The 22948-nt window shown below is 40.6% G+C and overlaps 1 protein-coding gene and 1 long non-coding RNA gene across 7 annotated transcripts in view, besides 2 other annotated features; one reads left to right on the top strand and one right to left on the bottom strand.

Annotated features, from left to right (window-relative positions):
• Nucleotides 1-22948, bottom strand: part of MAGI1 (membrane associated guanylate kinase, WW and PDZ domain containing 1) — a 685393-nt gene that overhangs the window by 22878 nt on the left and 639567 nt on the right. For 5 of the 6 annotated variants that reach the window (NM_015520.2, NM_001365904.2, NM_001365903.2 and 2 more), the window contains exons 14-18: nt 14739-14955; nt 10740-10823; nt 7129-7220; nt 5474-5666; nt 2858-3151 (exon numbers count right to left, since the gene is read on the bottom strand). In NM_015520.2, the coding sequence (NP_056335.1) occupies nt 2858-3151; nt 5474-5666; nt 7129-7220; nt 10740-10823; nt 14739-14955 (880 nt within the window). The remainder of the gene's footprint in view (nt 1-2857; nt 3152-5473; nt 5667-7128; nt 7221-10739; nt 10824-14738; nt 14956-22948) is intronic. The other variant, NM_001033057.2, reaches the window with a different exon arrangement.
• LOC124906246 (uncharacterized) lies at nt 4646-10743 on the top strand. The gene is made up of 3 exons (XR_007095952.1): nt 4646-4723; nt 9084-9224; nt 10667-10743. It is a non-coding gene; the product is annotated as an uncharacterized LOC124906246 (long non-coding RNA).
• Nucleotides 13164-13664: an enhancer, noted in NCBI's record as "H3K27ac hESC enhancer chr3:65375242-65375742 (GRCh37/hg19 assembly coordinates)". NCBI's record gives its function as "activates a minimal SCP1, AML or CMV promoter by ChIP-STARR-seq in naive and primed H9 embryonic stem cells {active_cell/tissue: H9 hESC(naive and primed)}" and the evidence as "EXISTENCE:reporter gene assay evidence [ECO:0000049][PMID:30033119]".
• Nucleotides 13665-14165: an enhancer, noted in NCBI's record as "H3K27ac hESC enhancer chr3:65375743-65376243 (GRCh37/hg19 assembly coordinates)". NCBI's record gives its function as "activates a minimal SCP1, AML or CMV promoter by ChIP-STARR-seq in primed H9 embryonic stem cells {active_cell/tissue: H9 hESC(primed)}" and the evidence as "EXISTENCE:reporter gene assay evidence [ECO:0000049][PMID:30033119]".

Raw genomic sequence — 22948 nt, forward strand, 5'->3', positions numbered from 1 at the left:
CTTTCTCTGTTTAGAAAAATAATCACTGGGCATCTGGTGAGGCATAAGAGTCTGCTAGCACCAAAAATTCAATCTGAAAACACCTGATGAACAAACACTCAGACTTTCTGCCTTCTCCCCAGAATGATGAAAGCTTTAGAAAAAGGGTGTAATTATAAGAGATGAGCCAAGAAAGCACCCAACCTTGAAGCTTATTTTTCCTTTTAGGACCTTTGCTCAAGCAGCTAGTCTTATGTGCTTTCAGAGCGTGGCCTGACTGGTTCATTAGCTCTGAAATCATTCTGCTGCCTCACAAAAATCCCCTCAAAGGACTACGAAAATCTAGTACCTATTCAGGCTGAGGACATTGATCCAAAGCTAGGTTCAAATCATTCCTCACCCTTTTTCCTTTAATCATCTCCTTTCTCATCATCAGTTACCCATATCAAAGACCGAGAAAAGTGCATTTGGAGAGAAAGGTTTATTCGTGCACTTTGAGGCACTGCATGTCATTGCTAACTTCTAGAGAGAGGTGGCTGGCTTTGAGGCCTGACATAGGATTTCTGGTTAATCTAGTTAATCATGTATTGAGTTTCAAAGTTCTTATGCATATTCACCTACTTTGAGAATTTGTCTTTCTGGGGACTATGAAGGTAGTTATGCAGTTGAGTTACCTTTTGGAAAGGGTGACAAATAACATGAGGGACATTACAACTAACTGAGTAGGCTCTTCTGTCATGATTTGGACCTTAAGGGTAAAGTGTGTGGGAAAATGCACTTTAATTCCTTTGAATTTCAGCAGATTTGCCTGAGCTTGTATCACAGAATGGAACACCAAGGTAAGATAATTTTTAAAAGTTAACAGTCTATTAGAATACAATAGGTAGGTGTGCTGGAATGCTCCCATACTCAAATTCAAGGTCTTGACTAAGTTTAGTTGATCTCCAAGGACAATTGGTATAACAAAGGTATCGAACAGCAGGTCTGAGGAAAGCTCAGCAAAGCTCAGAAGCCTCATGCAAGGTATTAGGGAAAGTTTAATTTGTTCGTTGTAAGAGCCAAAGGAAAACAATCAAAGACCAAATTGTGAGTGTGAATACAATATTCATTATATAACACATAACCTGCCACTTGACATATTTGCTATTTCTTTCTAGAAGGTGAAACTGACAATTCTGAAATAGTTAGGAACGTCACAGGATGCATGGAGACAGTCAAACTGTAGATCTGAAGAAAATAATTTGGGATTTCTTTCTCCCCTCTTCCTTCTCTTTATTTTTATATTAAGCAAGAAAGTCTCTGAAATTAATTTTAAAACAAAACCAAAAAACCTTGCTTTGATGTCAGGTCATCCATCCATGACATGCTATGATGACTTTATTAATGTAGCTCAAAAAGCACTGTTAGTAATAGGCGTTTGTTACTGCAGCCACACATGCATAGACCTGGCTGAGTCACTGTCCCCTGTTAAACATAAAACTTACGGGGAGACAGCTCCAGCAGGAAGCAACACACCAGGATTAAATGGAGGCCAAGTGAGCTCTACTGGATGAGAATGCTAAAGGGTTGTAGCACCTTGCTGATTCTAGCCAGTTTCCATGTGGATAAGTCATTCAGGGATAGAGCTGAGGTACATGAAAAGCCCACACAGCCTGCACAGCCCTTCCCCTTCTCCCATTGTATTCCATAGTAAGTAACAAATGTGCTTGGGAGATAACAAATGACTTTTTACCCAATCAGGAAGGTGGATCATTTTTGGAGTGTACATCTATAATCAATCCATTGCAATGGGAAGCAGATTCATATATCACTAGTTTCTGCAATCATCTGGGTTTCTATTGGTCTTTGCTAGTGTACCCAGAAGAGAGTGAATCCTTCTGAGAAAGTGACAACTGTGTTTCTCCATACTTTGCTGAAACCCTCAATGTCTGGACGAGACAGGAAAATCGAATGACTCTTAACTCAGATTTTAACCAGACTTTAAATCAAGCAACAGTAAAAATATTATTTAAAATTAAAAAAAATTCCTATGGGGATAGAGTAGAGAAAGAACACAGATGAGGCAGACTAGCATCTCATGTAGTATTTTTACTCCTTACACCTCTGTTTTTCCTAGAGCATTTTTACAGCCGTATGCTCCTTGTAAAAACTCTTAAGACATTCTTAAGACCATTCTGAGGCCCTTGCAATTAGTGCTATCCTATTCAAGACCTTTCGAAAGCCTTGCTTTGGCAAAAACTGTAGACTCTGTATGCTGTCCAGGGGTTCCTATTCAAATTTCTTTTCTTTCCTTTCCTTTTCTTTTTTTTTTTTTTTTAAGACAGAGTCTCGCTGTGTCACCCAGGCTGGAATGCAGTGGCACAATCTCGGCTCACTGCAACCTCCACCTCCCAGGTTCAAGCGATTCTCTTGCCTCAGCTTCCCAGGTAGCTGGGATTACAGGCATGCACTACCACGCCCAGCTACTTTTTGTACTTTTAGTAGAGACAGGGTTTCACCACGTTGGCCAGGTTGGTCTCAAACTCCTGACCTCAAGTGATTCACCCTCCTCGGCCTCCCAAAGTGCTGGGATTACAGGCGTGAGCAACAGCGCCCGGCTGCTATTCAAATTTCACGCAAATCTGATGTATGCTTTAAGTTGTGTATGCGTGATCACATTCTCAGTGTGGAAGTTGAAAGGGTTGAACAAATATTCCCAACCTTCAAAAGGGAAAAAGCTACCAAATCAACTCCATCTCCAATTAAGTCTTTAATTACCCAGAGCAAGAAGCTATAAAGCATTTCTGCACGTGAGGTCTGAGTCAGCTTTCACTCGCAAGAGAACAAAAACTCCCAGGCATGGTGGGAAACCCTGGGTAATTTCACGTTCAGCACTCACCAAAGGTCGTGCCTGCTTCGGGCCTGCTCACCGAGGACACGATGACGAAGCCGAAGCCCTCGTTCTCCCCGCGCCGGATCTCCACGTCGTAGGGCTGCACCACGGTGCTGACCACGCCGCTGCCCCCGCCGCCGCCACTGCCGATGCCGCTGGTGCTGCCGCTGCCCGAGCTCACCGTGTTCAGCGAGTTCTGGCTGCCCTGCGGAGTGCGCTTCTCTTCTGTCAGCGAGGCCGGCTGGTTGCTACTGTGATGAGAGGAGGCTGGCGAGGGCACCTCGTTCTCGGTTTTGGGCACTGTAGCAGAGAGATGCACGCGTACATCACCGTGTCCTGCAGCCCCTCCATCCTGCTGCCCCTCCCTCCTTCCAGCAACTCCTGCTAGAAATCAAAACGTGAACCGAGGGGAGGAGACAGCACCTGGTTTCACAATACCTGGATATACGGATTGAAAGCAGCTTCTCTTGACAAATATTAACCATTCAGTATCTACGAACATTGATCCCACCTAACACCAAATGGGACTCCCAAATAGCGTTTGTTGTTTATAGCATGCTATATGTCGACATCCACACTCAGAATCAAGTCTGCAGCAAGATCGGCCTGCTGTGAAATATTTCCCCATTGCACAAAGGGAAGGGCCTAAGCGTAGGTGAGGGCTACACCCGTGAAGACCGCCATCTTGGCTTCATAGATACAACCTTGGATGCACGTTCACATTGTCATTACTTTCCAGTCACATTTCCACCCAGCTTTTTCCATCAGGCGACAAACAGTAAGGTGATGGTAACGTTGAGGCTACCCGCCCTATGTGGGGTTCATGACAACACCTGTGAGACATACACATGCTTCTCTTCTTAGCTTCCAGGTGTCAACATCGACTCTGATCACAGAACTGGATACACTGGCCTCCTTCTGAATTTAGTCACCGTTCTAGTGTTACCATCAGACTGCAAGGTAAAGCACTCCTAAATAGCCAACACCGTAGGTGGAACCAACTATGCCAAAAAACAAAATGTGTGTTGTGTCCAAGTTTTGGATCAGACTGTATTTATTTCCAAAAGCTTCTCTTTTCATAGATTGTTTTAATTTTGGAAAAATAAGCATAACAAATTTTTAAACCATTTTTAAGCATACAGTTGAGTGGTATTAAGTGCATTCACATTTTTGTGCAACCATCATCATCATCCATCTCCAGAATTTTGTCATTTTCCCAAATTGAAACTCTGTACTCATTAAAAACTAATTCCCCTTCCTATTTCCTCCACCCCCCACCAACCATCATTCTGCTTTCTATCTCTATAAATTTGACTACCCTAGGTATCTCATATAAAGGGAATCAATATTTCTCCTTTTGTGACTAGTTCACTTGCATAATGTCTCTTCATAGATTTGACACGCCTTTTACACAGAGCTAAAAATCCAAAATATTTAAGATTTAAAAAAATAAACCTGAAACAACAAAAAAAATCACATTGCCTTACTATTTCTATTTGGGCCAGGGAAGCGAGATAGTTAGTTTTCATCTCATCTCAAAAACTCGTTCCAGCTGACTGCTTTTAGCTACATGGAATAGTATGTTAAGAAGGATTGTGAGGTCACAAACACACTGGAATTTAACATCTTAATTCTATAATTAATCATATACCATTTAAAATGGGTTATACTCTTTTTTTTTAAAAGAAGTTACCAATTAATTTTATCTGACAGGTATCTGTTTCACTAATATGAATGCCAAGAGAATTCATAATATTTCAGGTCATATTTCTCCAGTAATTCCACTGATAGAAGACAATCACCTCTGCTGCACTCTGGGTTCTGCCTTAAAGGTTTCAAGGTGGGAGCTGCATCCAAAGGTGAACAACCAAGGTGTGTTCAACGTGAGCTTTCAAGGGAAAGGACAAACACTCACACAATTCACTGTCTCAAAATGGCAGATTCTGATACAGCAGTAAACCATGAGTCACTAGAATGGCAAGGAGGGAATGCTAAAATCTGAAGGCAGTTGGAGGAAGGAGGAATTTCCAAGGGAAGAAAGTTATATTTGAGCTGAGCCTGAAAGGATATGTAGTATTTTGAGAATTAAAGTTCAAAGCTTATGGGCAGGAAGAAGGAATCAAAGCTGACCTAGAACTGGCCAGCTCTACAACTTTCTTGTAGAAAGAAAAAAAAAAAATCTTGGTTTAATACATAGGACAGTAAGAAATCAGTAACTTTTTTATGAGCTTATTTTGTAGCACAAACCCGATTTTTGTTCCCTTGATATGAAGCTACAACTCTTCTGACTTTCATAATGACCTCATTTGCTGAGGATTAGCATCAAATGAAGAGGATGGCTAAGTTCTGATTTGCAAGGAGATAGAAGGGAAGTAATATATATTCAACTAGCCTTCCTCTGGAAGCCTTTGTTGAACACATGCAAACGGCACATTAAAGTACTTTAGAATGACAGTAATTTTTGCAGGGTTTGAGAGAAGCAAGCCATCTGGAAATTCTGAGCTTGATCACATTTGCAAACATTTGCTAAAATAGACGCTCAAGGAGGCAGACACAGGAAGGAGGCCTTTTCTGTGAATAAAGTGACAACGCACTGTCTGAAGGAATGAATGAAATACATACCCGCAAAAACCACTTTACGCCGCACCGTGAGATTGACGTGGCCTTGCTTGGCAGCTTGTTGCATAAGCTGGACCACAAGCTGGTGTGATTTTCCAATTACTGGCGTCCCATCCACACAGATTAATTCATCTCCAGACCTCAGGCGGCCGTCAGTATCAGCAGCACCCAGTGGTACGATGTGACCAATATAAATCTGTTGAGTAATTGAACGATGGATGAAACATTGCTCTCCTATGTTTACTGTTACATCAATAGCCTTCACATCTCTGGGAACAATTCATTCATTCATGTCTGCAGGCATGCCGCAAACATTTATTGAGCACCCACTGTGTACAAGACATTGTGCTAAGCACTGCAACAATTCTTAAATGGTGGAAAGAGTATTTCTTGCTTAGTTTCCAGATGTTTATCTGTGGCCTATTGATGACTCACTCTCTTTTTCCCCTTTGCAGATATAAATTACTTTTCTCCCTTCATTATATACCCTATTCTTCTTTGGTAGCTACCTAAAAACTCTCTTTCCATAAAACTCTGCTAATTAAAATATTAATATTACTTTTATTTAAGGGTCTAGCATCATGCCTAGGAATAGGGAATCTGTAATAAATACTCTTAAATGAATGAATGAAGCAAAAGTTGGTTGGACATCTCCATTTTTGAAGTCTTTTAGCACCCGAAAGCAGAGCACTCTTTATAGTTAGTGTCTTGCTGTTATATTTGCCATTCACTAAACCTTAGCTAAAATATTTGTGCCTGCCTTGCCTTTCCAGCAGACAATAATGCTATAGCTACCTTTACGTGGCATTTATAGTTTACAAAGAACTTTGACAAAATAGTTGCTAAGAACATGAACTCGAGTCAGACCTTATTTGTCAGTCCCTCCATTTGGTAGCTCTGCGATCTTGGGCAAGTTAGTTAGCCTTTCTTTTCCTTGATGTGAAAACGGGATAAACTGGTGGGTTTGACGGATAAATGAGAGAATGTATGTTAAGAGCCTTTAGCACAGAACCTGGCACATAGTAAGCGCTCGATGAATAATGGCTGTTATTACCACAAGGAAATTAACGATACCTATTTCAGTTTTCTTTTCTTCCTTCAAAGGAACCCTGTTATGTTATTCTAAATTTATTCCAAAATGGAGGACACTGAGGCCCAGGGAAGTTCAATGTTTCTTGACCCTTACTCAGGGTTCTTTCTCAAGTTTTGTAAAGGCAGGGGTCTGACATTCTCCAATCACTGTCTCATAAGGCTTTGCGAAGTACTCTCTGCACACCAGCAACTCAACATACAAAGCCTACTACCTGCTGGCAGAGTGAAGGGACCTGGCCAGAAGGACCAGGCCACTGTGATATTAGGTGATGCCTATTCCTGTTTTGCTTTCTGTTTTCATCTCCCTTGGGGGAAAAGGGGTGGTCTACAGAGGCAGCTCCCACCTTTCACAAACACTCATACAAACTTTTTAGAAAGAATCTAGTCTCTTCTTCCTCAAGACAAAGAGAGCTCCACAAAACCCAATGAGAAACCCACACTACTCAAGATTAAAGAGTCAGTGTTGCATCTAGCTGGACTTAAATCTTGGTGATTTGTCACTGTCGCCAATTTGCTTTGAAGCCTTAGAAAAATATGCTGGGAAGAGAGACAAGCAAAAGACTCACAGGTTCCCCTGGTTCATTTCCACCCAGAATCCTAAATCCAAATCCAGTCTCTTTTCTCCAGAGGAAGATGTCCTGTTCCTGGTAATCTGGAACTGCAGAGAGGGGAGAAAAAAGAGAAGGATTATTTTACTGATAAAAGCAATGATACCCCCAAGATGAACACAGTTGCAGGACAAGAATGGTGGTGCTTGATCAGATGGAAGATTTTCAATATAGGCAAAGAAACAAAATACTCTGAACAGGTGAAATAATGGAAGACACGGGGATAAACAGTGGGAATAGTCACTGAGCCCTAAAGTTCTTCACAGGACCCATCACTGTTTGATAATTCCGAATCAAGCCCAAGCCATGATCCTTAACTACAAATAGTCAGCATTAACTGCTTTCCTCAGTATTCTTGCAAGGAGAATTAAGTAAATTAAAATTATTATGTGCCACACCACAAAGCAGGTGTCCATGTCCAAGAACACTCAGGCTAAGTCAGAGTCACCTCTGAAGCCAGATCTAAGGATTCGGAAGTCATGTTAAGTCACCAGATGTTTCCTCTACTAGAGGATGAAAGAGAACAGCTTGGTTTAAACAGACTTTCTGATTTATCTTTAAGTCACTTTCTTCTTCCTTAAAATAATTAAGGCTAGCAATGCTAATAGGCTTTGTTAGATCATTTTTGCCAAAAATTACTCTAAAACATCCTAGTATTTCTGCATACAGTCAGTCCTCCATATCTGTGGGTTCTGCATCCTTAGATTCAACCAATCACAGATAGAAAATTTGTTAGACCTACAATGGTTTTAGCTGTGATGAATACGTACAGATTTTTTTCTTCTCGTTATTCCCTAAGTAATACAGTATCACAACTATTTACATGGCATTTGCATTGTATTAGATGTCATAAGTAATGTAGAGATGATTTAAAGTATATAGGAGGTGGGGTGCAGTGGCTCACAGTGGCACTCCCAGCACTTTGGGAGGCCAAGGCAGGCGAATCGCTTGAGCCCAGGCATTCAAGTCTGGGCAACATAGTGAGACCTTGTCTCTACAAAAAATAAAAAATGAGCCAGGTATGGTGGTGTGTGCCTGTACTCCTAGCTATTCGGGAGCTGAGGTGGGAGAATCACTTGAGCCAGGGAGGTTGAGACTGCAGTGAGCCATGATTGCCCCAGTGCACTCCAGCCTGGGTGACAGAGTAAGACCCTGTCTCAAATAAATAAACAAACAACAAACAAACAAATAAATAATATAGGAAGGGGTGTGTGTGTGTGTGTGTGTGTGTGTGTTACACACAAATATTAGGCTATTTTCTAGGGATTTAAGCATCCATGGATTTTTATATCCTTGGTGGGGGATGCGGGTGTCCTGAAACCAATCCCCAGCAGACACTGAGGGGTGACTGTACAAATTTTATTAGGATTTCAATACTATTACCAAAATCAGCCAGGCCTCCAAATCCTTAAGATCAATGGTGATGACAAAAAGTCTATGTTAATGAATCATATATCTCATTGCCAAAATGACTGCTTTACTCTAGAATTTGCCTATGATATTTCAGCATTAAAAGTATTAATTCATTTTCCAGTAACCTGATATTTTACTTTCAATACTCAGCAATGGTCCAGGGCTTTAAAATGAATATCTTGTTTTTTAAAACAAATGCAATTTCCATAAGAAAATACTTACTATACATGAAATTGTTCTATACACCACTCTGTTACTTCACTAAAGTAAAAGAGTTATTTCTATTTAATTCTTACGTAATATTTTAATGTATACATAGGGTGTTTTATGACCTATAAAATGATATATCATTTTTTTAAAGAGAAAAAATATATATTTCAGTTGCAGTGAATCCTAAAGGAGATTTTCAAATGCTATAGTGCATACCTTCTTATTTAATTAACTGGATTTGGGGCTGAAGGAAAGCGCAGGCCTGAGAATTTAATTCTTTTCTTCTCCAGTTTTGTACAATGGAATAGGGAAGAAGAAGGTGGATGTTTAGATTTTAGGTTGGCGAAGAGATGTCCCTTTTTAGTGATTCACCCACAAACTTAAAATGTATAGTGAATGAATACACCAACAGAGAAGAAACCAAGTGACCAGTAAGTACAAGTCAGAGGAGTTTGAATCTGATCTTTTTACTTGAGCTATCTCAGTGCCAGGGCTGTAAATGGGTGCTTTCTATCCACTGCTTTTATTATAATTGCTGAGGCTAAGCTGCAAAACACCCAGAACATGGAGCTAAGCTACTGCACAGGACTCCCATAAACACAATTTGAGAGTAATATTTTCTTGAGCACGCTAAGGTAACAATATTTTCTTTCTGTTCGAGTAGCTGGCTACAGGATATTTGCTGTAATAGCCTCAATGAAACAACAAATTAAATCAAGTTGTGTCTCCGTCTTTGAGTCACTCAAGCAAGAGGATTATTACTGAAATAGACCACTGGTGCTTTCCAGCCAGCACTGGGCTCCTGGCAGAGTCTGTTTTAGGTCTGCTGAGTGTGTGGCTTTTCTGGGAACAACGAAAGGGCCTCTGCAGAGACTTCCAGCCCAGACCCATTTTTCTCAGCATCATTTAACACCAGAACATTTGCCCATCCTACAGTGACACCAAATGTAACAAGTTTCTGCCTACTGTTGCTCATTTAGGTGTGAGCTAGCATGGTATGGGAGGTTGTGGCCAACAGATTTAGGCTTATCACACCGTTTAGGCCACATGGAAAAAAAAAAAAAAAAGCTTCGTTTCCTTCTGAGAATCAGTGGTAAATGGCAAATTTATTTAAAGGTTTTCTGTTGAAAAGGAAGATGCCCACTGACACTAGGGATGTTAAAGACACAAGAGTGAGCCAGAAAACACAGACATAAACGTCGACACACAGACACGTTACAAAGAAAGTCTTGCTACTTTAATTTTGGTATTTTAAGAATTCTACTCTTCTACCAACTAAATGCCATTTACCCCAATTTATAACTTTGGCAATAAATCAGTACTGAAACACATTATGGGATTATAAAATTTCTCTCTTCTGTGTCCTCTGAGGCCACCTCTTCTTAGAGGCATTGAAGTTTCTAAACTACTTCCCCCAAAATGGTTTTCTTCCTTACTTCAGGCAGATTTTATTAGAATTAAGTTTTTAGGCGGCAGTAAGGTAGAACCATTTTCCCAATATTAATATCACTTTTTTTGAGTGAGGCTAAATCAAATAGAGCTAAGAAAACCTTGTCCAATTTTCATTTGTAAGCCCCTGCATATGAACAGTTTCTGCAGTTAGTCTCCTTTGGGTAATGCCAGTGACAATTCAATAAAGCAGTCAAAAGACTTCCTTTGATAATTAGAAAGAATGGACCCACCAGATTTGCAAAGAAACTGCCTGGTGTCTCCATTACTACAGACAAACTAACACATTTCCAGACTTGACAAGGGCATGCAAAACCCTTTTTATTCCATCTTGTCTTTGGTTTGCGTTTGGTCAACAAGAGCTCCAAAGCACTTCCCTTCATGCCCCTTTTTTCTTCCCTCTCTTTTCTGAACTTCTCCCCAGGCCCCCAGACCAATGAGAACATCAAACAAGATGAATGAAAACGGAGAGACAAAAGTTTTCAGCGGATCCTTACTCGGACATTCTCCAAAATTCGTGGAATTGATTTCTCTCTCTCTCTCACCCTTGCTCAATCCCGACGCAGGTGAAGGTGACATAGCTGGAATATTAATTTCACAATTTTGCAAAGCTTAATGTACATTCTTTCTCTTAGTTCACTTTAATTTAGTTTTGATTGATAAGGAACAGTCAGTTCAGCTTTCACAATAAAGGTCATGGCTGTTATGTTAAAAGACTATAGTTTGATTCCATTTTTTCTTTCTTTTTTTTTTTACAGTGCTTTACTTGTAAAAAAGGTAGAATTTACAATTGCACCACTGAGAGTTTCCTATAACTCCTATTACTATCTTAAACTCTCCTTATTTAATGACATTCTAAAGTACACATTCTTGAATGGCCTTACTTCAATCATGGTTTGTCTAAAACCTTATTGCTTTTTGAAAAATTTAAGTATATTTGTGCTACCACTATACTACAGCATTTATTCAAAAGTGTATCAAGTCCAGGATGAAATTCATTCTTGTACTAATATCTGTTCAGGTGAATTCTAAGCATTTCAAGCCAGAATAGTCTTATATTTAGAGATGCAGATCAATGGATCTATCCGAGAACTGAACAAACACACAAATACAAACTCATAATTGCTCTTAAAATCTGGAGGTATATCCAAGCTTCTTAAGCTCACTATGATAAAGAAGCTCAATCGCCACTTCCAAACTTGTAAGCATGTCTCTCCAAGGCAGGACAGATTTACAATGTTGGTTAATAGGACAGTTTTCAGTTTTTTCTTTCCAAACTATATAGTGAACAGGCAAAGTTTCAACTATAAGCCTTATAATTTCTTTTGTAGTAAATGCTACTGGATAGGATCTGATTTTCCTAAACATTTACTAATAACACTGCATCGCTGTCGTTTTTAAGATGTGCACAATTCTAGAGAAACCATAAAACAGGCAACATGGCTTTTAAAGGACTTCAGTGCTCGTCTTTGTTTTTAATTAAACATTGAAACCCTTCAAAAGGATTCATGAACACATTTGTAATTCAGACTGATTCATTCTAATACTGCTGCCTTGAGAGATGGCCATATCAAAAATATGGTACATTGCAACACATTTAGACCATGTGAAGGAATGCGTTCACAGATTGTGTTAATCTCCACATTGCCCCTAATAAAAGAAAAGAAAAAGAAAAATGTATTTCCAACAAAAAGAGGGTAATATGGCACAGTTAAGCTGCTGTTGCTGACTTCAATTTTCCTGTTTTTCCTGGATTACTCTGCTCATTTTACTGTCTTGGGGGGAGGGGGCAGGGAATCACATCTAACAAGGCTATACACTTTTTTCTCTTTGAAAGACAAGATACAAAACAACCTAAGAGAATGGCAGAAACTGATCTCAGATAAAGAAAAATACTGATTCAAAGACGAGATTGATGCACGATCATTCCTAGGTGCTGTGAAAATAAGAAAATCTGTGACAGATACTGAATAATTACCATGGGGGCCAGGGGGAGGTCTCATCATTATCCTCATTTAGTAGTGAGGAAGAAATCCATGTGAATGTTAACATCAATTAGGTTGCTACTATCTATCCGTCAACTACAGAGACTCCAATTACCAAAAAGGAACAGGTTCTCATTTGTGCTGCTCTATCCGATTCCTTAGATGTTAAAGAAAGTGAAGGAACAAAACTGGCACCATTCCGAATTTTTTTTTTTTTTTTTTTTTTTTTTTGAGACAGTCTCGCTCTGTCGCCCAGGCTGGAGTGCAAGTGGCATGATCTCGGCTCACTGCAAGCTCCGCCTCCCAGGTTCCAGTGATGCCTCCTGCCTCAGCCTCCCGAGTAGCTGGGACTACAGGCGCACGCCACCACACCCGGCTAATTTTTGTATTTTTTAGCAGAGACGGGGTTTCACCATATTGGCCAGGCTGGTCTCCAACTCCTGACTTCGTGATCCGCCCGCCTCAGCCTCCCAAAGTGCTGGGATTATATGACTGAGCCGTGGCGCCTGGCCCCGAATATTTCAGTCCGGCTGCCACCTGAGCAACTTCAGTACTTACAGTAGCTGGCTATGGCCACATTACATATTTTCCTAATTTTTTTTTCCTAGTGAAAACTTTTTAGACACATTTGATTAAGTCAAATTCTTAAGAAAATTTGCCGCCACCAGGGTAAAAATGGCATTTGAGCAAGAGCCTTCTATTAAACGGATGTTTTACAATTGTCCTGTCAACCCAGGACGCCCCCGCCAGCCCTTCAGAATGCAATTCATTTTATCACAAAAAGATTCATACAGGAAAACTCAATCATAAATGTGTACTGTATTGAGGAGAGCAGGAGTTCGGTCAATAAAGCAATATCTCAACATTAACTGAAGTTGGGCCATTGACTGGACGAGCCACAAGCTCAGAGAGAAATGCGCGGGGAATGTGAAAACGCTCCTCTTTGGAAATATCTCTTAAATGGTTTTCTTCAGTGAAATCACTACAGTGAGCGAGGAGACACAATGAGGACAGAACCTGGTTCCTGGTTAGCATCCACTGCATATGAGGTCATTCCAAATGGAACTTCATTTCCTTTAGTCAGGCCTCAGGGGTACTTTAGGGGTGTCTTTCTAGTCCAGCGACTAAATAAGTCCCTGCTCAAATTAGTGGGCTTTTTGTCAGCAGAGTGAACTTGTAGCCAAAACAGCCTATTTAATTCCATGCATTGTGGTACCAAGAAGGCAGTAATATTTCTCCCTTGAGGAGGAAAAGGATGAAGCCCTGAGTGACTCCTAACATTTGATAACCAGCAAGACTCCAGGCTCACCTCTGCCCCCCAACTGCTGAGCATCATTCAGTGGACTGACCAACTTTCCTCCTCAGACAAGGATGCTGGCCTCACTGCCCCATTTTGCTTGGGTCACAGAGGAGTCGACTTTCAGCATGCACCTCGGCCGGCAAAGGAAGCACAGCATGGCCAAGTCTGTGTAGTGGACGGGAGGCCAGGGACCCACACCTCACACAACCTCTCTGCCACGACTCTCGATGGGGACCCTGCTGAGCAGTGACCACATTTGCAGCTAGGAATGAAACCTGTGCTGAGGGGAGGATGAGCAAAATGATTCCCTTCACTCTTCCAGCTTCTCCCAGACCCTTCAACAAACCGAATCTCCACCATCACAACACCTCTCTCCTACCCCATACCAAAAAGAGAAAATGAGGTATCTGTCCTTCATAGCTGCCTCACCCTGACCATTATAAGAAAACATCAGAAAACAGCCACCCAACAACAACAATCAATTTGCATCGCCTAAAATTAAGGCATTTTTAGGAACTTTCATTGGTAAGATAAATGAATATTATTTATGGTGAATAGTTTTTGGAAATCATTTCATAATAAAAAGACGTTAAACATGAGGGTGATATTATGTTTATACAAGCCAAGAAGTTACAAAGTATACTATCACTGGCTCATATTTATAGAAAAGGTAAAGCACTGGATAAGTAATTAAAGCACAACCACTCACTGCTATGGTTTTTTCCTTTTCATGGGGAATGTTTAGAGAGATTATAATGGTTAAAAAAAATTACCAGTATTTTTAAAAATCAAGAGACCACTTAAAAAGCATTTAATTTCTTCTCATTAGCCCAAAATCCCAGTCAAACATGTTTAAGTTCTGTTGCATATCAGATTTGTGCTCAGAGCACATCACAATCTCCACTCGGAGAATTAATGAGACAGCAGCTCTTATCTACCATTCCTTTTAACTGAAGGGACGAAAAAACCCATTTTTACCCAGGGCATTTATGTGATAACCATCCACTTCTACCCCCTCCCCAAAGTGAAGGCATAGTGGAGACTCCATGAATAGCCAGCAGAGTCCACTCCCTCTGTGATACTTTTGCATCTTGCGGATTTCACTTTACCCAGTTTACACACTGCAACTCATCTATTTTCAATAACCTTCAAGAGAAAGGTAGAGCCCTGCGGAGGGGTCAGGGTAAGACAGAGGCCAGGATGCTACTCACGTCGGTTTTCATACATGCTCCTGGACTGGGCCCAGATTTTAAAAGGATCTGGTTTTTTCTGGCCAGAGCTGTCAGTTTGATCTGGAGCTTGGGCCTCTGCAGGTGGGAACTCGGGGAGCACCTGTGTGCTGTGGCTTGGGGATGCTGTGTGCAGGCTTCGGTGGCTGGAAACACTGTGCTGAGAACTATTCTGGCTGTCTTTCCTTTCCAGTGGTTGCTGAAAGTAAGCAAGTGAGAGGGGCAAGAAGAAAAGATTATTATTGGTTCTCTGAATGGGTGCTTTCCACCAGCTTGTCTTTGTTTAGCACTTTTGCATACACATACATATCAACAGTATTTTGGCTCCCACCTTTCTCCAGCTAATGCTGAATGTAGATAAATCCCCAGGTGACTGGCAGACAAACAGAGGGGTGGGCCAGATAGGAAGACATAATCATAACCCATACTGCTCTCTGGGCTACAGCGGAAAACAAATCTGATATTCATCACAGGTTCTCAGCTAAGACGCTATGCTCGTTTACTGCAAGATGGATCAGTTTTAACATTTTCATTTTCACAAAAATATGTGACACCAAATACCATGAGTGGTTTAGGATAAGGCTATAATATCCAGAAGAAATATAATCAGGGCTAAAGATGCTCCTCAGGACTCCATGTCTTGTACCTTTTAATAATAAAATACCCAATTCCTCTCTAAGAGTTTGCTATCCATTCTTTTCGACTATTAAAAAAAAGGAGGTCAGATCTTTTAAAAATCATGCCTAGTATTATATGTTTACTGGTATTTCTAGGTGTAGAAATTACTAATATATGAAGAACTTCCATAATTCTTAGCTAATCAATTTGGCAAGCATTACACTTCACCTCTTAAACTGCCGATAGTACTGTTGGTTGAAAACCAAGATCAAACTTTGTATATGAGTTGACCTCTGGGGGCCAGCCTTCTTAGATCTGCAACTTCTCCAAAGTCCAAGTATTATAATATTCAAAGGGGAAGAGTTCCATTTAAATTTCAGTTGAATAACCAAGTCCTTGTTCATTAAAATCTGCTCAGCAAAGACCCTTCTCATTTTACAAAAAGCTCTGTTAGAATGGGGAATGAATGGAGAGTAAGACCTAATGGAAAGGAAAATAGTGGGTAGAACAGAAAATAACTGTAGTTCTTATTTTCTCCAATAAAAGACTGTGGTAATCTCAGGTGTTTAGCATTCCCTATTCAAAACAAAAAATCCTGCAGTCATGCCTCATATACCATAGACACCATGTCACTATACTTAGCTGATTTAAAGCATTGTATGGGGTAGAGGACAGGAAAGGGCTCTCCATTCTCTTTTATAGATCCTGTAGAGCTCGTGGTTTTAAAGTACTTTATAAGAGCTTTGACCTTGATCATTCTAGATCCCTGAAGTTCTTTATAGAGCCCAAATCTTCCACCAGGTGTTCCGATCAATCCTATCAAGGCCATTCTTCCTTGCTGTCTCCCCGAGTATCCTTCATCTTTCATTCCCCTGGAATTCTGCTGGAAATTTGCAAGGTCCCTTCATTTAATTCTCAGGTCCCTATACTTCCTCTCCTTCCAGTAATTGCTTTGAAACAAGTATCTGAAGAAAGCCCAAGGAGGACAAAAACTTCATCTGCTCTTGACTATTACAGATTTGAATGGAGGTATTGGCAAGGATTCAAAATTGAGAACAATTGGACATGCATTCAATGAAGGCAAGGTAGACTGTTTAAAATTATACTTGATGTGCCTGCAGGAGAAATTTGAGGACCATATTCTAACCTATCCTGGAGGTCTTGGGAAAACTGTATGAGAGGCTTAATTCACTTCAATTCAAGGGGAAAAACATACACTGTTGCAGATGCCAGGAAAACACGCTGATGTTTGGGTGGGAACAAACACCATCATAATCCCACGTCACCATTTTTCTCTTTTGAGGATCAAGTGCTCAGCTCAGATTTGGTTGCCATTCCAGAGTTGATAGAACCTGGCTCTGCCAACTTCAACAGTTTCTCCTCCAACAGTGAATTCAGCTCCCAGGGCCAGAGTGAGAAAATGTAAATGATGGATACCATACTCATTTTCTTTTGCATGCACATGGGACAGTTGCTTTTTTTCCCCCCCTCTTCAATGTGGTCTTTACAAGGGTCTTGATTATAAACAACCATGTACAGTATCAGCCCTTTTTTTGTGTGAACCTACATAACAACACATAGAAAAAATGGGATTATGGGTGGAGTTTTTCCCTCTTATCATTATACTTTCCCATATTACCTACCTTTTTTACTTTTATGGTGCATAGAGAATACTTTTTATAATCAAGACAAAATTTAAAGTCATTTTCATTTCAAAATGAACCTTGGTAAATAGAATTAACGGGAACTGCTACTTCCTATTTTTTTACATTTTAGTAATGTTTTACTTTTGTTCACCTCTGAAGGGGAAAGATATTTTAAATGTAAAAGCAAAAAACTCAATAAAAGACCTCTGCATTTACCCTGAGAGTGGCATGCCTCCCTTCAAAGGACCACTCTCTTTTGGTTCCTCAAATTAATAGATGCCAGATTGATTCCAGGGTCGGCCTATAAGCACTAAATTCTGACCCTGGAAGCTCTGGTCTCATCGTGTTGAAATTACGCTTCACAAAGGCGTGCACACTGCAGGATTACCTGCAGGAAACAGCCTTGTGCTGCTGCTTCTTTTGTAGGGTTATTGGCAGTTTCTGTTCCATTGTCTTCTTGGGCCATTACCTCCTGAAGCCTAACTCAAACCTTTTCCACTTGATTCTTCTTCCTGAACTGGAGAGAAATATCCTTCTGGCATCCCTGACCCACTGAGAAAGTCTGATAAAAGTACTGGACCTGTCTCCCAGAGAAAATGCGTATGTGCTTTTACATACATACCTGTACATGCATGTGCAGAGATTCAGCATGTCACGTCATGGGTTTTTGAAACCCTCTCATGTCTGTCCCAGTATAAGAAATCCCTGACATGGAAGAACCTAGATCTCTTACATTTAACTGAAGAGATGGTTCCACCAGAAATAGAGAGTGCAAATGAAGTCTACTGGAAATGCTTGGGCCATTTTTCAAATTATAACACCCTTTCTCACCTCCCCAATAAATGACTCATTTAGGTCCAATTTAACACCAAATGACAGACACAATCTGGAATGAGTTTGCAAAACTGCCTCTCGGTCAAACTGCACCTCTGAGTCTCCTTTAAATGCCATCTAAACTTTATACCTCAAACTGGAAAATAAAAGTAAAGGAGCATCCTGAGAATATGCTCTAAAAACTGTGCCACCACTCAACTATCTCTAACTGGCATATATAAATGGCACACCAGTGGGCTAAATACACAATAATCTGGAAGCTTTTTGGATGTTCTCCCTGCTAAGACTTAACCTCATTCTATGTTCCTTCTCAAGTTCAATTATGAAAACTCATTAATTTGAAGACATATTCTGTAATTTAATATCTTGTGGGCACTCTGGATTTTTTAAAACTATGCTGTGGGTGTGAGGGGAGTTCAAAGTAATTTTTTTTTTATTTTCTGTTAGCATTCTAATTAGCTATGAGGTTGTCCTTTATCTGGTTAGAGCCCAGAACTGTCCAGGAGAAAAACCATGTTTATATATCTCCCAAATTAAAGTCAACTTGTGTGCATTTTCAGCAGTCTGGATCACCTCCCAGAAGACTAGGGGCATGAGAATACGTTCACTTCTGAACTATTTATGACACAGGAGCAGATTTGCATTTAATGCAATTGTATTTCACCTCATTTTCCTAGGTGAGACACTAGCCCAAAGACAAGTAGCTGTAGTTAAAAGTATACTTTTAAGTCTGTTAACGAAACCCTGTGCATACTAAGAACATGGAAAAATGGAAAAACCTAGTACACAAATGATATAACATCCAGCCCAGGCCCTCCTAAGTGTGCTGCCCTACCTGCAATAGATTTATTCACTTAACCCAATAAATACATAGGATCACCTGCTGTGTGCCAGATACTGAGGGAAACAACATGTAAATAAGGAATAGATGGTACCTGAGCTCTTGAAATTTATCCCTGGGAATGTATCTAAGTGTGTGTATACATAGTGTGTGTAGATGAATATTAATAAAATATAATCTATTGATAGCAACACACTGCAATGTCCTTTAGAAAGGTGGTAAAGAGAGGACTCTGGAAGAACCCTACTAACAGAAAGAGAAGGCTGGGCATGATGGCTCACACATGTAATCCCAGCACTTTGGGAGGCCGAGGAACACAAATCCCTTGAGGTCAGGAGTTCGAAACCAGCCTGGCCAACATGGTGAAACTCCATCTCTACTAAAAATACAAAAATTACCCAGGTGTGGTGGCATGCACCTGTAATCCCAGCTACTTGGGAGGCTGATGCACGAGAATCGCTTGGAAAGGTGGAGCTTCCAGTGAGCTGAGATCACACTACTGCACTCCAGCCTGGGTGACAGAGCGAGACTCCATCTCAAAAAAAAAAAAAAAAAAAAAGAGGGTGTGCTAAGTGGACTTTCTGAAGAACAAAAAAGCTAATGTGACACAGCAAGGGAGGGTGGCCTGAGAGGAACTGGGAGGCCACATAACGCATGAGCCCTGTGGGCTACGTAAGGAGTTTGGGTTTCATTCTTAGTTTCAAGAGGGGGAATCCATTAATGAATTTCAAGTGGGGATGTTCCAAGAGCCAACATGTTTCCAGAAAGTTTGGTGTCGCTACTGGGTGGTGAATGGATTGGTGGGGAAGAGGAGTGAATGCGGAGAGGCCAGTCAGGAAGCCCCAGGTGCAGTCAATGTGGGGACCTGAGGTGGGCAACACCAGGGTAGCTGGAGTTACCCAGGAAAAGAACAAGTGAGGTCAGAAGACACTTTGTTGCCAAATTCAACAGGGATTGCTGACAGACTGAATGGAGGAGGCTTAGGAGCAGGAGGATGGAGGGGACAGGAGAGAAGGGAGGTGAAGAGGATCACCAAAAGGAGGAGAGCTTAGAAACAAGGATATCCATGCACCACATCTCTACTGTGAGTAACTGGTTGAGAAGGGGTGCCACATATTAAGATAGGAATTTCCAATGCTAATTGTTGTCATTATGCTGATATTTTTGAAGCAAGAGTCTTATTGCTGAGTCTCAATTCATAGCCAACTAGGAATATGGAAATGGGCTCAATTAAAAAAATTCCATAAAGGTCTTTGGCCACATGTTGGCCATGAACCTGTATCACAAGACCTTTTAAACTAAAACTAAAACTGTACCAACCTCTCTGAAATGAATGATTCCCTTACTTACTGTCAGGCCAGGGAAATTGGGAAGACATAATGGTTTTTATAAATGGAAATGCGAAAAAAATCAACTCATCAGTATTTCCCAGAATGATTTCAAAATGTAGGTACTTAGAAAGTGAACTGAAAATATTTGCTTGGAAGAGCAAATGAATACAGACAGCACTTAGGAGCTTAAATGATGAAAAGAATTCATGTGGCTTAAAAATGACAAATTGATCCATTTTAAAGCAAAATTATTTACAGTTCACTTATCTGCCAAGAGCGAAGGCTACTGCAGCGATTTACATGGACAACAGGAAAAACTCCAAGTGCTGATGAGGTATTAGGCCAACGTCATTAAAGGGTGTGTGAAAATCAGAGACTCGAATCCAAGCCAGTGCAGAGGATGGTCATTCCTTTTGTTTGTTTCTTTTATCATTTATGGGTCTAAGTCAAACGATTTCTTCCAAAAAGGTGGGCGAGAGGAGTTAATGCAGAAGAAAAGGCAGGCACTGACTGGATATGAAAATGGGTTCTGGTTCACATTGCATGTTTTAAAGGAATGTAATACAATGGCAAAGTCCATCTTCCAGGGCTCCAAAAGGCAGAGAAGGGGAGTTGCCACGGGAAGTGAGAGGCAAGGAGACTGACTGAAGTGATCCTATGCCTTCACCCATCTACTACTCTCACTGTTTCTTCTTGTAGGCTGTAGAAGCTTTGATGGGATCAATCATCATGCTGGTTGTCACACAAGTGGCATCAGGGAAAAGGAAGACAGGTGCCACACAACTGTGTGAGTCTGAGAAAGAGGCAGGGTACATAAAACGGAATGATCTAGGCCAGGGTCACTTAGTGTGTGTGTGTAAAAGGAGTCTCTCCCTCACATCTCTTAATGACTAGTTTTCAGCAATTTCCTTTAGCATCTCTTGCAGGGGAAAGGGACAGAGAGGATAGTGGAACAAAAACCTATCACTGTGGCTACCCTGCCGACAGCTTGCTATGTCTGCTCTAAAGAGGCTGTTGAAGAGACTGCTTCTTCAATGCGGATGGGCACTGGATGCTTTGCCCACCATCCAGGGTCCTCTATATAAAAACTTTTTGTAGGATTTTTTTTTTTTTTTAGTGAACAGGAAACTCTTGTCTCTTTAGTGAATATGGTACACTTTCTTTCATCTGACAATAATAGCTAAGTAAAGAATGTGGTTTCCTATGTTGCCTAGGCTGCTGGGGAACTCCAAAGTACTCCACAGCTCAATCACAGCACTTATTCAATCGTGGGTGTTGGCATTTTATGATGACTTATAAGTTATTATAATTAAGAGTGGAATGATTACATTATGTGCGTACTTGCTTCCATGTTATATTTCTGCTTTATTAATGCTCATCACACTTTAATCCCTATGAGGTGAGGATCTTTGTAGATCTGCCTGTTAATGTGGTTATTATTTCTCCCTCCCCATTTCCATGAGGGCAGGGATGTTTTCTGATTAATTCTTATCCAATATTGGCACTGGGTCTGGCACACATAAAATAATAAATACTTATTGATGAAATGACTGCATAAACATTTTGGAAATTTGTGGCAATTAATCTTTTTTTTTTTGCAAGGAGCAATCAATACACGGTTTGTTTGCAAACTGCAAGAAGAGAGGTGCCATGACCACCTTATTTATTATAGTATTTCCAGTGCTTCACACCAAACCTGTTATTTAATGGGTTCTAAATACTAGTTTTCTGAATAATGGATGAATGAATGGATGAAAGATGAATATGTAGGTGGAGCAACAGATGGATAAATAGAAGATGATAGCTAGGTGTGGTGGCACATGACTGTAATCCCAGCACATTGGGAGGCCAAGATAGGAGGAGCACTTGAGACCAGCCTGGGCAAGATGGTGAGACTCCCGCCTCTACAAAAAATATAAAAATTAGCCAGGCATGGTGGTGCATACCTACAGTCCCAGCTACTTGGAAGGCTAAGGCAAGAGATTGCTTGGGCCCAGAAGTTCGAGGCTGCAGTGAGCTATGACTGTGCCACTGCACTCAGCCTTGATGACAAAGTGAGACCTCATCTCAAAAAAAAAGAGGGGACAGATTAAGGGAGAAGAGTTGGGAAATGAATTCATACGAAAACGGTGGATACTGACTTAAAATTCAGGGTTTGGTGTGATATTTAGTTTTAAATTCTCATACACAACATCCTTGTGGGTGATTTAGACTGAGAGTCTCAGTGAAATGAGTTTTCAGTCAGGATGATTAAGTTGGGCCACAGAATCAGTTTCCCAGAGAGGTCTAAAACCTGACAGAAAATATGTCTTGTTTTTGTCTCTGCTATTTGGCAGAAAAATCCCTGATGTTATGAAAGTCCAGGTATTAAATTAATAAATTTTTATTAAGATACTGCCATTGTCCCCAATGAGTATATAAACCACAATTTCAACATTTAAACTAAATCTTGAAGGTGAAATTGCTTATTAAGAGTAAGCTACAGGGACTATCCAGGAGAAGAAACAAGATAAAAAAAGATAAGTCCTTCTGTTCTAATAAAAACTCAACTACTTAATTATTGAAAATCTTAAGAAAAAAAAAAGGTATGAGGGCAAAAGGAAGCTGCCAATCACATGAGCAAGCCAACATTGTCAGGAGCCTCTAATAAAATAAACAAAACAACCACAACACAATGGTCCTGAGCTAAGACCACTGTGCACATATGCACAGAGCTATTGCCAAATCTAAGTGAGTCACAACCCAGGTACAATCAGTGTGCTTTTAATTATGCATCCTGCATAATTGACCTTATGTGTCATTACTTGAATGGCTTTCTGGTACCAGGACATCCAGCTTCCCTGTGAATTCCCTCTGACCCCACCAGAAAAATCCCATAATCATCTGTCTCCCTGGCAGGACATCATCAAAATTCAAACTGGG

Source organism: Homo sapiens, chromosome 3 (assembly GCF_000001405.40).
Source record: "Homo sapiens chromosome 3, GRCh38.p14 Primary Assembly".
Classification (NCBI taxonomy): Eukaryota; Metazoa; Chordata; class Mammalia; order Primates; family Hominidae; genus Homo; species Homo sapiens.